This window comes from Homo sapiens, chromosome 2 (genome assembly GCF_000001405.40).
Source record: "Homo sapiens chromosome 2, GRCh38.p14 Primary Assembly".
Taxonomy (NCBI): Eukaryota; Metazoa; Chordata; class Mammalia; order Primates; family Hominidae; genus Homo; species Homo sapiens.
Window position 1 is genome coordinate 178,309,234 of NC_000002.12, and position 14,809 is coordinate 178,324,042.

Consider the following 14,809-nt stretch of genomic DNA (forward strand, 5'->3'; position numbering starts at 1 on the left):
AATATTTGACGGTTCTATATTGCTTATCTTTTTATGTACTGATCTCCTCATCTGTATTGTGAGCTCTCGTATACAGACTATGTACTCTTAAGTCTTCAGAGACCAGCCTTGAACCTCAAATGTTTTAATATATCCTGGAGGATATATTTTAAAGACCTGCAACAACATTAGTTTTGTATTTTTATTACAAATTTTCCATTCCTGATTTATTTGTCCTTCTCTTCTTCCTTCCTCATGGATAAGTAAAACAAAGAACATCTGTGCATAATAGTAATTACCTGTCCTTCCTGTCACTACATTAGATAGCATAATTGGTAAAGAAGGGAGAGGAGCTACGAAATAAAATGACTCAGTGCCCCTGTGATCTCAGTAAGTGTTTCTTCACCAATGATAGCATCAAGCCTCCTCTTAGTTATTTAACAAGTTAGAAGGCTTTAATAATTGTTCCATTTGCATTTCACTAAATCTGATATGAGCTGTTAGAACATCTAGCAAAACTGGCTCTTTGTGTGTGTGATCAACTATGACTCATTAAGCTGCAATAAACATATTAATATATGCCCTAAAACATTCCAAGAGGGAGCATAAGGGTTGTTGATGAAACACCTAGGACTTACCAATAAACCAGCATTCCCCAAAGTGTGTGCCGAGGAATGCTTGCCACTTGAGATGTTGTATTAAAAGAGAGTTCTTCTGTCAAATAAGTTAGAGAAGTGCTAAACAAAATATCTTTTGCAATGTGCATTACAAAATTAAGGACACCGATAAGTCCCGAAGTAAGAACTTTTTATTTAACTGAGTAATTCTAGAATGTAGTAGACTGTGGAACTTTTTCCCCTGTAAGATTTGATTGTTACAAATTTAGATTCTTCCTTCTATGAAAAAATTGGAAGGTCTAGGGACATTGATCCCAGATTTCTGATGACAACAGTAGACTGGGCTCAATAATGCCTTCCAGTGTAGTTGGGATATTTACTCTTTGATCAGCTACAGTCTTCACCTGCCCTCAATACTTATTTATGTTGACTGACTTGCCCTTTAAAGCATTTGGATTTGTAATTTCTGATCCTGGATGTCAGTAGGTCAGTCAGTAGGTCAGTAATATTTAACTTACCAAGGGTGATTTCAACTTGGATTTTAAGAAAGCACCTTAAGTTTAACATGCCCAAAACTGAACTCTTTTTTTTTTTTTTTTTTTTTTTGAGACGGAGTCTTGCTCTGTTGCCCAGACTGGAGTGCAGTGGCGCGATCTCGGCTCACTGCAAGCTCTGCCTCCTGGGTTCACGCCATTCTCCCGCCTCAGCCTCCTGAGTAGCTGGGACTACAGGTGCCCGCCACCGCACCCGGCTAATTTTTTGAATTTTTAGTAGAGACAGGGTTTCACCGTGTTAGCCAGGATGGTCTCGATCTCCTGACCTCATGATCCGCCCACCTCGGCCTCCCAAAGTGCGGGGATTACAGGCGTGAGCCACCGCACCCAGCCTCAAAACTGAACTCTTAATTGCCCTCTCAAATCTACTCCTGCCCAGCTTACACTGCCTCCATAAATGACAACTCCATTCTTTCATTTGGTGAGAAATCCAGGAATCCAGGAATCATCCTTTTGGTTCTACCTTCAGGATATACCTGGAATCTGATGACTGCTTGCCACCTCCTCCCCCTCCACCTTGGTCTGAGCCACCGTCATTTCTCACCTGGACTATCGTCACAGTTTTCCAGTGGGTCTCCCTGCTTCTGTCCTTGCCCAACATACAGGTCATTCTTTACAGAGCAGTTGGAGTAGTACCTTCACAACCTAAGTCAGAGTGAGCCACTCTTCTGCACCAAGCCCTCCAGTGACTTCCCATCTCTGTCCAAATAATATTGAATTGCTGACCACTGTCTACGATGCCATTCATAATCTGGTTCTGCCTGGCCCTCTGAGCGCATACCATGTTCCCTTTAAGTGGTTCTCTCCAGTACATTCCTCAGATGTGCTAAGAACACACCCACCTCAGGGCCTTTGCACTTCTGGTCCCCTCACCCTCACCTGCTTTTCATCTAGCCATCCCCCGGTTTGTCATACACTTGGCTCAGTCTCCAAATATACCCTCCTTGGGCAGCCTTCTCTGCCCTTCCCTGCATGTACCCATCTCTCCTTGTCCACTTAGCTGGTTTGATTTTTCTTTAAAGCATTGACTACCACCTGGCATGTTATCTATTTGGTTTTGTATTTGTTTCCTGTTTATGTCTGTATCCCCTTCCTGTATTCCCTAACACTGAAATGTAAGCCCTATGAAAACAGGGTTTTATTTCACTCAATAATGTATTCCTAGCACCTTGTACAGCGCCTCACATTTGGTATGCTCAAGATGTATTAGAAGCAATAAATGAATGAATGAGAAGTCAGGATGGAGAGAAGATTGGGAGCTCGGCTCCAGAGGTCTTGATAGCTGCAAAGGAATAATCATGAGGTCAGGAGATGACAACAGGGAGAGATGATATTGTTTGGAGTTCCAAGTCCCACAAGAGTGGATTTTGAGAGTAAATGAAGGATAGCCCAAAGGCAGCAGAGAGGACCTAAGAGAGCACAGTCCCTTCCTCTTGCTCCTGAGAGTGGACGTGTGATGGAATAAGTGGAATCATGTGAAGGACAAAAGCAGACAAAAGCAGAGAGTTGGGAGCATTCTTCTGCACAGGTGTTAAACATATTGGTGGAGGTGGGAGGTATCTCTTTATTTTATTTAATTAAATTGAAATGGCGTCAAATTAAATTGAAATTAAATTGAAATGGCGTCTTAGTCTGTCGCCCAGGCTGGAGTGCAGTGGTGCCATCTCAGCTCACTGGAGCCTTTGCCACCTGGGCTCAAGTGATTCTCCTGCCTCAGCCTCCAGAGTAGCTGGGACTACAGGCGAGCACCACCACGCCCAGCTGATTTTTGTAATTTTTTTTTTTTTTTTTTTTTGAGATGGAGTTTCGCTCTTTTTGCCCAGGCTGGAGTGTAATGGCACAATCTCGGCTCACTGCAACCTCCGCCTCCCGGGTTCAAGTGATTCTCCTGCCTCAGCCTTCCGAGTAGCTGGGATTACAGGTGCACCACCACGCCTGGCTAACTTTGTATTTTTAGTAGAGATGGGGTTTCACCATGTTGGCCAGGCTGGTCTTGAACTCCTGACCTCTGGTGATCGCCTGCCTCGGCCTCCCAAAGTGCTGGAATTACAGGCATGAACGACCATGCCCAGATAATTTTGGTTATTTTTGAGACAGAGTTTCGCTTTGTTGCCCAGGCTGGAGTGCAGTGGCACAATCTCAGCTCTTTGCAACCTCCGCCTCCCAGGTTCAAGTAATTCTGACACCTCAGCCTCCCGAGTAGCTGGGATTACAGGCGCCTGCCACCACATCTGGCTAATTTTTGTACTTTTAGTAGAGATGGGGTTTCACTACGTTTGCCAGGCTAGTCTCAAACTCCTGACCTCAAGTGATCCACCCACCTCAGCCTCCCAAAGTGCTGGGATTTCAGGCATGAGCCACCACACCCAGCCTCTCTTTATTTTAAAACGAAGGTTATTGCTTCCTGATCAGTATATATTTTATGGTCACATTATATAATAAGGTCACTCAGTTTGTGACCCACTGACTGGATTTTGTTTCCATAATTACTTTTATGCTTACATTTCTTTCCTTCTTTCTTTTTTTTTGGAGACAGAGTTTTGCTCTTGTTGCCCAGGCTAGAGTGCAATGGTGTGATCTCAGCTCACTGCAACCTCCGCCACCCAGGTTCAAGCAATTATCCTGCCTCAGCCTCCTGAGTAACTGGGATTACAGGCGCCCAACACCACGCCCAGCTAATTTTTGTATTTTTAGTGGAGACAGGGTTTCACCATGTTGGCCAGGCTGGTCTTAAATTCCTGATCTCAGGAGGTCCACCTGCCTCAGCCTCCCAAAGTGCTGAGATTACAAGCATGAGCCACCACGCCTGGCCTATGCTTACATATTTTAGAGAATTTTAACAAAATATATGTTTCTGAGGCATTTTCAGTAGTTCTGGGATTATGCCCAAGGATCTGCATTTTCAAAAGCAAGTCCTGTATTTGGAGCCAATGATTATTTTTATTTGTATTATTTTCAAGTCATATCAGAAAATCAGACACTATGGCTCTGAGAATGTAGGGTTTGGAATGCATAATTTTCAGGTGATAGCATCTGTTATGGGTGAATTCTTATATGTATCTCCACCAGGTTAGACCTTGTAAATCCTTAAATGAGTCAATTTTTTTGTTCAATGAAAAATCAAAGAAGAAAAAGCCAGCCAGCCCTCGTAATGACTCAAAGTTTGCTGAAGCTCAGAGATAATAAAATAAAGAACATTTTAAGGAAAAAATATAAATAATAAAAAATAAATAAGTCATAAGAGGCTAGAAGTTCATCTTCTTACCAGTTTTTATGAAATCTATATTCCGTATAATGGTCCATCTTTTAACAACTATATATTTCAATTACATGAGTATCTAAAATGTTTCCTATGTATTATCAACAGCAATGCATTTCAAAACCAACAGTGGCCTATTCATTCAAAGCCCACTGGTGACATATTAAGGCCATCCCCAGCAGTGACTCAGTGGGACCATGTGCTGGTGTAACCATGGGATAGTGGCATGGCCATTCACAGCAGATTTCAGCAGCATCTGTTATACAGGAAACTCATTATAAGTAAAGAAGGTGCCTGGAAAACCAGACAGTAAAAATGTCTCTCATCAACATCTATCCTTTATGTGCAAAGTTTTCATAACAAGTTTTCTTGTTGAACAAACAGGCTAATAAAAAGATCCCCCAGCATATACGTGAACTGAATTGGAATGTGTCTCCTCCGACTGAGCCTCTGTAGCATCTTCAAATCGCTCTGTTGAATGAAATAACTAAATCACTACTTTGAAACATAGTGTCAAATCTTCTAAATAGGAAATGGATTTCCTTGAGTTGTGAAAAGTAGCATGTTATCTCAAACAAAAATGTTCTAATTTCTAAAGAAAAGAAAGTCAAGCATCCCTGATTTGATACCTAACCTCCAATTACAATCACCTCCAGTGTTACCAGTAAGGAGGAATATAACCTGAATTATTAGCTCTGTGTAGAATTCCACTGGACCCAGGGATTTGCAGGATGACCCTGGAACCCAGCTGTCAGTTCAGAGAGAAACACTAACCTGATCTGAAAATCTGCAGTGTCCTCTCTGGAGTGCTAGGTATATTTAAATTATTGAGTTGATTCAAATTTCAGTTTAGCCTTTTTGGGAATCCACTCATCCCATGGAATCAACTTTTTGGGACTTAGGACCAGTGTCAGTGAGAAAATAATATTTGTTTGCAAAAGCTCAGACTGGGACCAATTTTTGTTACTTGGATGCAAACTGGGTATTTTGAAGAGTCTAAATATTAGGCAAAGTTTATGAACAAACCAATAGAATAACACCAGCAATAGCTAATATTTCACGAGCTCTCACTGTGGAAGGCTGGAAGTGTCATCACTTTGTTCAAAGAACAAAGTGTGGCCAAAGTGGTGAAATGTCTTGCCAACAGCTAATGAGCAGTGGAGACAGGATTTGCTCCCTGGAACCCAGTTTCTGGAGCCCTTGTTCTTGGCCCCTCCACTATTAGATGTTGTAATGCTTGCCAAGCTGGATGTCCAGGCCTCCTGTATACTTTGAAGTGAACCTTGTAGGCAGCATTTGTCAATCATTTTTTAGTTAGGTATTGCCTCCTCATTTTTTTCCTTGAGCAATAATAGTAATTTTTCACATCCTTGATGGCTTGGGAAACTGTAAATCAAATGGTACATAGACTAAAATGTTAATAGTTATTATGAACTGTTGCCATCATAGGTGAGTTCTATGCTATCTGTGCTTTTCTCAATTTTTTGCATTTTTACTACACGTATTGCTTTTGGAATGAGAAGTTTTGATCATCTTTTTGCAATGAGAAGTTTTATTGACAACTGCTGTTAACCTTTCAACGAGCAGCTCCACAGCTTTCTTGGCATCGCCACCTTTTGGAGATCTCTGTCACTGTTGCATGGTGTTTACGGTACATGTTCAGTCCATGTCAAATGTGCTGAAATTGAGACCACTAGAAAGAGATTTGTTACCTGCAATGTGTTTTCCTAAAGGTCATATTTTATGAGTTTGTGTGTGTGTAGCTTTAAGACAGTATTTGGAATGTAGTAAATATGACAAAAGTGTCAGCAAATATTAAATATCATTATCTATTATATAATGGCACACAGATACTCATTACCCACAGATGATTCAGAACCCAGTGCTACTTGGTTAGGAGTCTGTTCACTGCTTTCCCTGGTGTGCCTGCCAAAGCCTTTCAGCTCTCTAGGCCTGCCTTTATCAGGTTTTTACTTTGGAGGTTATCTCTTGTTACCTTGAGATGACTGGTTTTGGGTGACATTTTTATAGCAGCAAATTCGTCTGTCAGATCCAAGATTAGCACTGCCTGTTCGGTTCTCAGGCATCACACCAAATAGACAGGGCCACAGTATCATGAGTTAATGAAGCCCAGAGGGTCTCATTCAGTAGGCCCTTGAAAAGGCCTGAGAATCTGTTGTTTACAGAAGCCACCCCAGGAGACTGTTATTCACTCAGTTTTGGAAATGATCACTTTACAGAGAACATTTTTAGGTGTTTCATTAGAACTATAAAAACGTCATCCCAAAGGACCATAGGTCTACAAAACTGCTTTATTTGATTTTCAACTTGGACAAACAGAAAATCTTACCTCCCTTTGTCCAGTATCCACTGTAACTCTCCTGGACTGGAAGTGAAATATTCTTACAAAGGTAAAGGAAAGTTCTGCACATACTGTATGTTTTATATTTCAAGTGCCAGACTTCCTGACCTCAACTCCCAATTAAGAGCTGATTTCTCAAAAATTTTAATAGCCAGCACTGGTGAGGCTTCAAGGAAATAGATACTCTCCTGCACTACTGCTAAGCATGTTAATTGATTTAGCTTTTTTGGAGTGAAATTTAGTGATATGTATCTAAAGTCTTTTTAAAAAGTCATACCATGGGACCCAGTAACTCAGCTTCTAAAAACATGTATTCTAAGGAAACAAAGATACATGTTAAAGATTTCAGTTAAAAAAATGTTTATCAAAGTATTTTTATAGTGGTAAAAAAATTAGAAACAGTCTAATGTTCAACAGGAGATATTTAAATAACCTCTCTCATAGCCACACAGTGAAATATTGCACAGCTGCTAAAAATGCTTTTGAATATTTAATGCTGTGGGAACCTTTTACTTTTAAAACCTCTGTAGCCACAGTTTCCAGATCCGTGGATTGAACCAGCCATTGTTGAGCCATATGAAGAGTTACATACATAACATGGTTTATGTAACTGCCGTGGATTGAAAATATCCCCCCTGCTACAACACAACAATCAAAATAATGCAAATAAAAAACAATACAGTATAACAACTACTTACATCGCATTTACATAGTATTAGGTATCACAAGTAATATGGAGATGATTTAAAGTATATGGAAAGATGTGCATAGGTTATATGCAAATACTATGGCATTATGTATAAGGGACTTGAGGATTTGTGGATTTTGGTATCTGCAGAAGGTCCTGGAGTCAGTCCCCCAAGGATACCAAGGGAGGACTGTATTGCTAATTGAAACCAAAAAACAAACAAACAAAAAGGCTATTAAATTGAAAAAATAGTACAATTTTTATTTTGTTTTTAAGAATTGAGTGTGTATATGCATTGAAAAAAAGCTGAAAGAAGATATATCAAAATATTGAAAAAGTTTATTGCTGGTTATGGGTGGTTTTAATTTCTATTTTTCTGTTTTCCCCCCAAAATTTCTGCAAAGAATGTGTTTCTCTAAAGGTCATATTATATGAGTTTGTGTGTGTATATCTTTAAAACAGTATTTGGAATGTAGTAAATATGATAAAATTGTCAGCAAATATTAAATATCATTATGTATTATATTAAAATATAATGAAATTGCAAACCCTACCTCGATAAGAATAAAATTAGAAGTTAAATGAGTATGAAGGATATTATGCCACATAGGAAGCTTGGCACAAGTTTTTCAAACCACTTTGAGGTGCTGAGGCATGAGGTGGGTCACCTTTTGTCTTCTTTCCTGCTTACATTTGATCTCACGGTAATTTAACTTAATTATGTCGCAGCAGAAACTTAGACACCATATATATATATATATATATATATATATATATATATATATATAGAATAATTATTCATTCATTCAGCAAACATTTATGAGAACATATTGTATATGATGAATATTTGCTGAATGAAAGAACATATATTCTCATAAATATAAGATCTGATATCAATACATGTTCTTATAAATATTTGCTGAAAGAATGAATATGATATATATATGAATGATATGCTCTCAGTTTATAAGGGTGATCAAAACAGTCCAACTTTCTGTCTCAAATGAACCTACATAAATATTAAAAAGATGTATATGGACTTTTTTTTTTTTGCTTGTATTGTTAGCAAAATCACGTAAGTGATTATCATACTAAAAAATCCTTACCCTGGGTAATTTTAAAAGCCTTTTAGAAAATTACAGATTAACTTTAGTATTATTTTCAGGTCACAGTTTTCCTGCCTTTAAACTGACTCTACATGTTCCAGAGCGTTAGCTCTTGATATGCCCTGGTATTTGTCTATGTGATTTGCCATTTGTTTATAATTGCCGTAATGAAGCATGATCCGTATGTGCTTATACTCTGGTTGCTGTGGTTTCCTCTGATTTAGTTATGCTGTTGAGTGTTATGAGTACAGAATAAGGAGGAAGTTCACCAGTAAGCTCTGGTTCTATTTCTACTTAAAGGCAACTGTGGGAATTAAAAAGCTGTTTATTCCCATACCTTTTATCTCTTTCATAGTCAATATTGCTGAACTACTCTTTGCTATCAATGGACCACTTGATGGGTCCACATGGTATTTCTTACAATACAGGGTGTCTTAAAACAGGCCAGTTCAATGGTGAGGCTATAGTGGTTGATTCATAATTCTGTGCAGGAAGGGATGGGACTGTGCTCACTTTGCTTTTCTCCCTTCAGAATTTCCCAGGTGTGCTGTGTAGACTTTTTTCAGCCACTGTTTCTAAAATTTTCTACTTTCATTCATTTTAAGGGTGCTTATATAGAGACCTACTGTTAATGCACTTCTGCATCTTTCAGTGAAGGCCAGATAATGGAGAAAGTAGTATAATTGCTACTTCTTCAGCCATGGCCTTTTGGCTTTGGTGATTTTAATATTTTATGCTAGTGCAAAGAAAAAACTGTTTTGAAGGAAAATCCACATGCATCTTCTGCTGCAGGCATTCAGAAGGATGCAATCTATGCCGCCATCACTGCTGTTGCCTTCCCATTAGAGAATATCTAGGCCATCTCTCTCAACTCACGTTGACAGCTCTCTCACCAAATTTTGATGTCCTGATCATGAGGTGATGCTGACCATGGTTACTGGGTTTGCTGGGTAACGTGATGGTCATGGAAGGCACGGCTTCCTCACTTCCAAAAGGGCTCCCAGGTGTCAGACACCAGCAAAGTGTTTGAAAGTCATCTTTCTGTGGCATGGGAATGCGTAAGATTCCTAGATATTTATTCCTGTAATGTTTATAACTGAGATGATAGCTGCTATTTATTGGGTGCCTACTGTGTGCCAGCCTTTGGGCAGCACTGTGCATACACTGGATGCCTACCCTGTGACTTGCAGTGTCTTGTAAGGTAGATATTATTATCCTCATTTTACAGATAGAGGACACTGAGGTTGAAAGAGGTTAATGGTTTGTCTACGTGTCATAGTAAATAGCAGATGAGGGTTGGTATGCTGGTCTGTAGAGCTGCAAAATTTATGTTCTTTTGTCTGCACCATACACCATACCCCCAAAGTAAAAGCTAGCTGACTTGCTCTCAGTTCTGGAAAATTACAAATTGTCTGGTTTGAGTGTGTTTTTGAAAATAAAATAAAATTAGAAATTGGAAATTAACTTGAGTGTGCTGTAAGGGTAACAAAGAAATTATCCCTAAGATTGTACCATATTTAAGAGTGCTATAATTTTTTCTTTTTTATTTCACTCATTTCTACTTCTCTATATCCACAGAAGATTGTGGTAAAGAATGCTTTGTGATATGTTCATTTATCAATTTGAAATTTCTGTTATTTTTGTCATTTGACATTAGCTTTCATGTTAATTCAGAAGGCCATATATACAAGCTTGACTCGAGTAAAATCTTGTCACCTTCCAACTCCAACCCTTAGTGACTGTGTGCCTCTCTTAATCTCTATATCCCTTTATCTGGTCAGTCAGGCAGATCATTAAATAGTCATTATTCAAAGGCTTGTGAAGATGGAATGCAATAATTCATGTAAAGCATAGAGATAGGAATGTAAAAACCAGTAACTATTAACTGCCATTGTCATCATTATCATCAACACTATCCTACAGAAGTTACTAGTACCACTGAAATAGTGTTGCTACGTTCAAAGTAGCAGCTATAACTAGAAGAGATACATGCGAGATAGCTGAAAGCTTGAAGAACGTACTTTAGAAATTCCTAAATTATTTTGGATATTTTTCTTTGAAAATATTTTGGGTAATCTGTGAATATAAAAATAGCTTAGCTAAGATAGTTAGGTGAACAATTTCAATGGAGTTAACATTCAGAGAGCAGTGGACCAATTCTCTTTACTACTGTCCTAAATTTATAGAAAAAGTGAGTCTGTAAAGAAATTTGTAGCCTCAGTCTAAAACATTTCCAGCAATGTCTTTATATCTTTGTAATGAAATTTAAGTAAGTAAATGACAAGATCCCTATTCAACAGATCTCCTGGACTCTCATTTTGAGAATCACGTTTCTCTCCGCGTGAGTTGCACCAAACCATTCAGCTATTATTAAGTGTCTCATTGTCTGTCTGTTTACCTATGTCTTTGATACCAAGTAAACTAGACTACAGTCATGTTGGCACATTTCCACTTGCTGCTCAGGAGGTATTGAGATCAATGAACACTAACCTGAGGAGCATATTTTTACCAAATTAAAGAGCTACAGTGAAATATGTGTTCCAGGTTCCTGGTTTTAAGCTAAATATGCATCAGTTATCTCTGATCAGGGGAAACAGAGGGCGGGTAAGTACTTCCACCTTCTCTGTGTGTTCTAAGTTCCTTAAAAAACTGACCTGGAAATTAACTTATAATTTTAGCATTTGAGAGGAAACTTGATTTTAGAAGAATAATTAACTGGTTTACATAACCCTTTATTTAACTTGCTTACATAATGTGTGTAACACCTTGAAAGTAGTGGCATGTGTTTCCAATTCACTCTGAAAGAATATGAAAACAGCTATCTTGTGAAGAAAAGTACAAAAATTATACCACAAATTATGATCTTAAAGGAAGCCTTATGAAAAGAACTGATTTTTATAACTGAAGATGTCATGAAATTAAATTTGATGTGTTCCCTAATGACTACTCATAGCTTTAAATTGAATAAGTAAGAGTTCTGTGATTAATCCGCTAGATTTTCCTGTTTTAAAACTTAGGCTTTTTAACTGTTTTCAAAAGTTCTATCCTATTGGAGCATGATTTTTATAATTCCAAGATAGGCTGGGTGCAGTGGCTCACGCCTGTAATCTCAGCACTTTGGGAGGCCGAGGCGGGTGGATCACAAAGTCAAGAGATCGAGACCATCCTGGCCAACATTGTGAAACCCCGTCTCTACTAAAAATACAACCGGGCGTGGTGGCACGCACCTGTAATCCCAACTACTCTGGAGGCTGAGGCAGGAGAATCTCTTGAACCCGGGAGGCGGAGGTTGTAGTGAGCTGAGATTGTGTCACTGCACTCCAGCCTGGCGATGGAGCAAGACTCTGTCTCAAAAATAATAATAATAATTCCAAGATAAAGCTGGAAGGTAATTGATTGCTGAAGGACTGTTCTCTGCAAATTAGCACTAAAAAATTCCACACATTTTTGACTGGCTTCAGTGTGCAGATTGTTGTGCTAGGATGGGGTGGATTACGGGTAGAGAAGATGGAATTCCAGGATGAAGATGAGCTTGTCCCCACCTTCAAGGAGCACTCAATCTAGCTAGAGGCCAGGACTGGGTATGGTCAGTTTAAACTGTCTTCTTTATAGCTGCTGGTGTAAAAAAATACAACATTCAATTACTTAGATATTTCATTTAAAATAACAAATTGCTTGGTATATAATTACATAACTTTAGGGTTATGCTTTTTTTAAAACCATGAGTTTGGAGAAAATTCAAGGTAGTGGATTAATTTTTTATTATTGAATAGACAATGATAGGTTCTAGACTCGTGAGTTTCTACAAGAGCTGTTGGCTTCTTCATTGTCATCCTGGAGGTTACATGGAATAGCTTATTTTTTGAAGCTAGTTACAATTACAATAATGGGTAGCAGCTGGTAGTTTTCTAAATTGTCCTTTAACTTTTTCAGTAACAAATACATACATTAGTGATAATAAAAATATTCATTTACTTGCTATGTCTCACTAAATGTTTTTTATGATTCTCTGGGCTTTGACAAATCAACAGAATTTAGGGTTTAGATATATTGTGCTATATTTGAAGTGATTGAACTTCTTATTTTTCTTCCATAATATAAACTGTTTTGTAACATCAAATGGAGAAGAGACTAATATTGTTTTCTTTGTGCTAGGTACTGTGGTAGGTATTTTACAGTTGTGGGTCCTGGTTTGTGTGGTTGCTAACTAACCCTTCTGACCCACATAATTCTGGCAACATCTTAAGTATCCCCTCGTATCTATACAGGAAAAATTTATTTCCATCACACTTCAAATATACCACATTGATTTCTATATCTATGGCTTGACTTGGAAGTTAGGGGATTTAATTTCCTTTCCCTAGCTTAGTTACTTTATTTCCTGCCTACATAGTTACTAAGGTCAAGTTTCTTTCCAGGTTTTGTTTTTCTTACCACGTTTTTTTGGAGGTGGGGGAAACAGTTGGTGATGTATCTGTGTTTTATTGCCCAGCAACCTGAAAGGATGGGGATCGGGGAGAGTCGTTAAAGAGAAGCTCAGATCAGAGATACCTGACTGGAAGATTAAAGTAAGCAAAAGCAGTAGCCACATGAAACAAGGTTAATATGTGGGCTTACAAAGAAGTCCTAACCATGATTTGGTCTTTTGTATGATAAGAACTCTTTCTAGAATATAAGCATCATAAGAGTAGTTCTCTTGTCTGTTTTGTTCTCTGTGGCCCTGTCATCTGTGCCTGGCAAAGTGTAGGTGCCTAATAATGACATGTTGATAAATTGAACTATGAATGAATAAATAACGTATTTCACTGGTAGTTTCTGGTCTTGTACTTTATTATATTTATTTGAATGAAGTTTTTTGTTGATATTCTATTAAATAGTGAGGGAGAAACTTGCTACTAAAGTGTGTAATTTCTAAATGGTTATTTCAAAAATTACGTTGGAAACTTCTTTTCCTATGGAAAATTATCTCAAAGTATAAGGTAATTTATTTGTTGGTGGGGGAAGCATTTTATATCTCTGTAATACAGTGACACTTGTATCTTTGATCTTTACAGTGACACTCGTATCTTTGATCTTTATTAGCCATGGTTCTTTTTTAGAAAAATCACCTCATGCATTTAAAAAAAAAAAAAAAAAACCTTTAAAAAAAATCTTTGTAGTCTTTACAGTAGGGAAGTTTCGCTCTCATGTATTTGAAGAGTGCATGAAACAAGATTTGTTTCCTTCTTTTATGCTTTCATAATGTGCCAAGATAGTGAAGTATTCTTAATGAGTAGATTTATGTAATTTAGGTTAAGGCATGTACTTTTTTTCCCCCGCAAGGGCTTTAATATAATTGCAAAATTCCGCTTTAGAAAGATCATATCTAATTTATATTTTCTTTCTTCCAACCCCACTTCATTCTTGAATCTGATGGGTAAAAGAAATTATTATTTTGATTCTCTTTTTGAATACTTCTAAGTTAGAACATCTTTTCAAATGTTTTACATGTGTTAACTATTCGTGTACTTCACCCATTTTTCTGTTGAAATTTTATCTTGCTAATATATAAATGCTCTTTGTAAAAGACACCTACCGTTTATGGTATTTGGTGAATTGTTTTCTTCTCTGTGCGTTTTTGTAAGAAACTTTAGAGACTGAAGGGTGTGAAGGCTCTGGATTTTTATTTATTTATTTATTTTTGTGATGGAGTTTCCTTCTTGTTGCCCAGGCTAGAGTGCATTGTGCAATCTTGGCTCACTGCAACCTCCGTCTCCCAGGTTCAAGCGATTCTCTTGCTTCAGCTTCCCAAGTAGCTGGAATTGCAGGCTTCCATCACCATGCCGGGCTAATTTTTGTATTTTTAATAGAGACAGGGTTTCACCAAGTTGGCCAGGCTGGTCTCAAACTCCTGACCTCAAGTGATCCGTCTGCCCCAGCCTCCCAAAGTGCTGAGATTACAAGCATGAGCCACCATGCCTGGCCGCCACTGGATTTTTTAAGGTAGACCTTTCTTTTTGTCTGTTGCTATTCCCAGTTGGAGAGATGAGCAAATATTTCTATGTAAGCCTGATTAGTCTAAGTAGAAGGTGTGTCTTTGTCATAAAGTTGTAAGTTTTCTTGTGTGTATCATAAAATTTTTCGAGAGATATTCCTCTGACTCTCCAAGACTGAAACCGGCACTGCAGCAGCAGTTCAGCAGCAAATCTAGAAGAGGAGGGGAAAATCCTGTGCCGACATATTTTTCTGTCTGTTGCTGCTATCT

At 38.2% G+C, this 14,809-nt stretch overlaps 1 protein-coding gene across 50 annotated transcripts in view; it reads left to right on the forward strand.

The window, feature by feature from the left end:
- OSBPL6 (oxysterol binding protein like 6) overlaps positions 1–14,809 on the forward strand; it is a 209,120-nt gene that overhangs the window by 115,460 nt on the left and 78,851 nt on the right. For 4 of the 50 annotated variants that reach the window (XM_047443123.1, XM_017003265.3, XM_047443125.1 and 1 more), the window contains one exon: positions 13,058–13,133. The exons of 44 other annotated variants lie outside the window; for them this stretch is intronic. In XM_047443123.1, coding sequence (XP_047299079.1) covers positions 13,058–13,133 — 76 coding nt within the window. Of the gene's footprint in view, positions 1–11,008; positions 11,170–13,057; positions 13,134–14,529; positions 14,548–14,809 lie in introns of those variants that run through there. 2 more of the 50 variants (NM_145739.3, XM_047443167.1) reach the window with 2 other exon arrangements.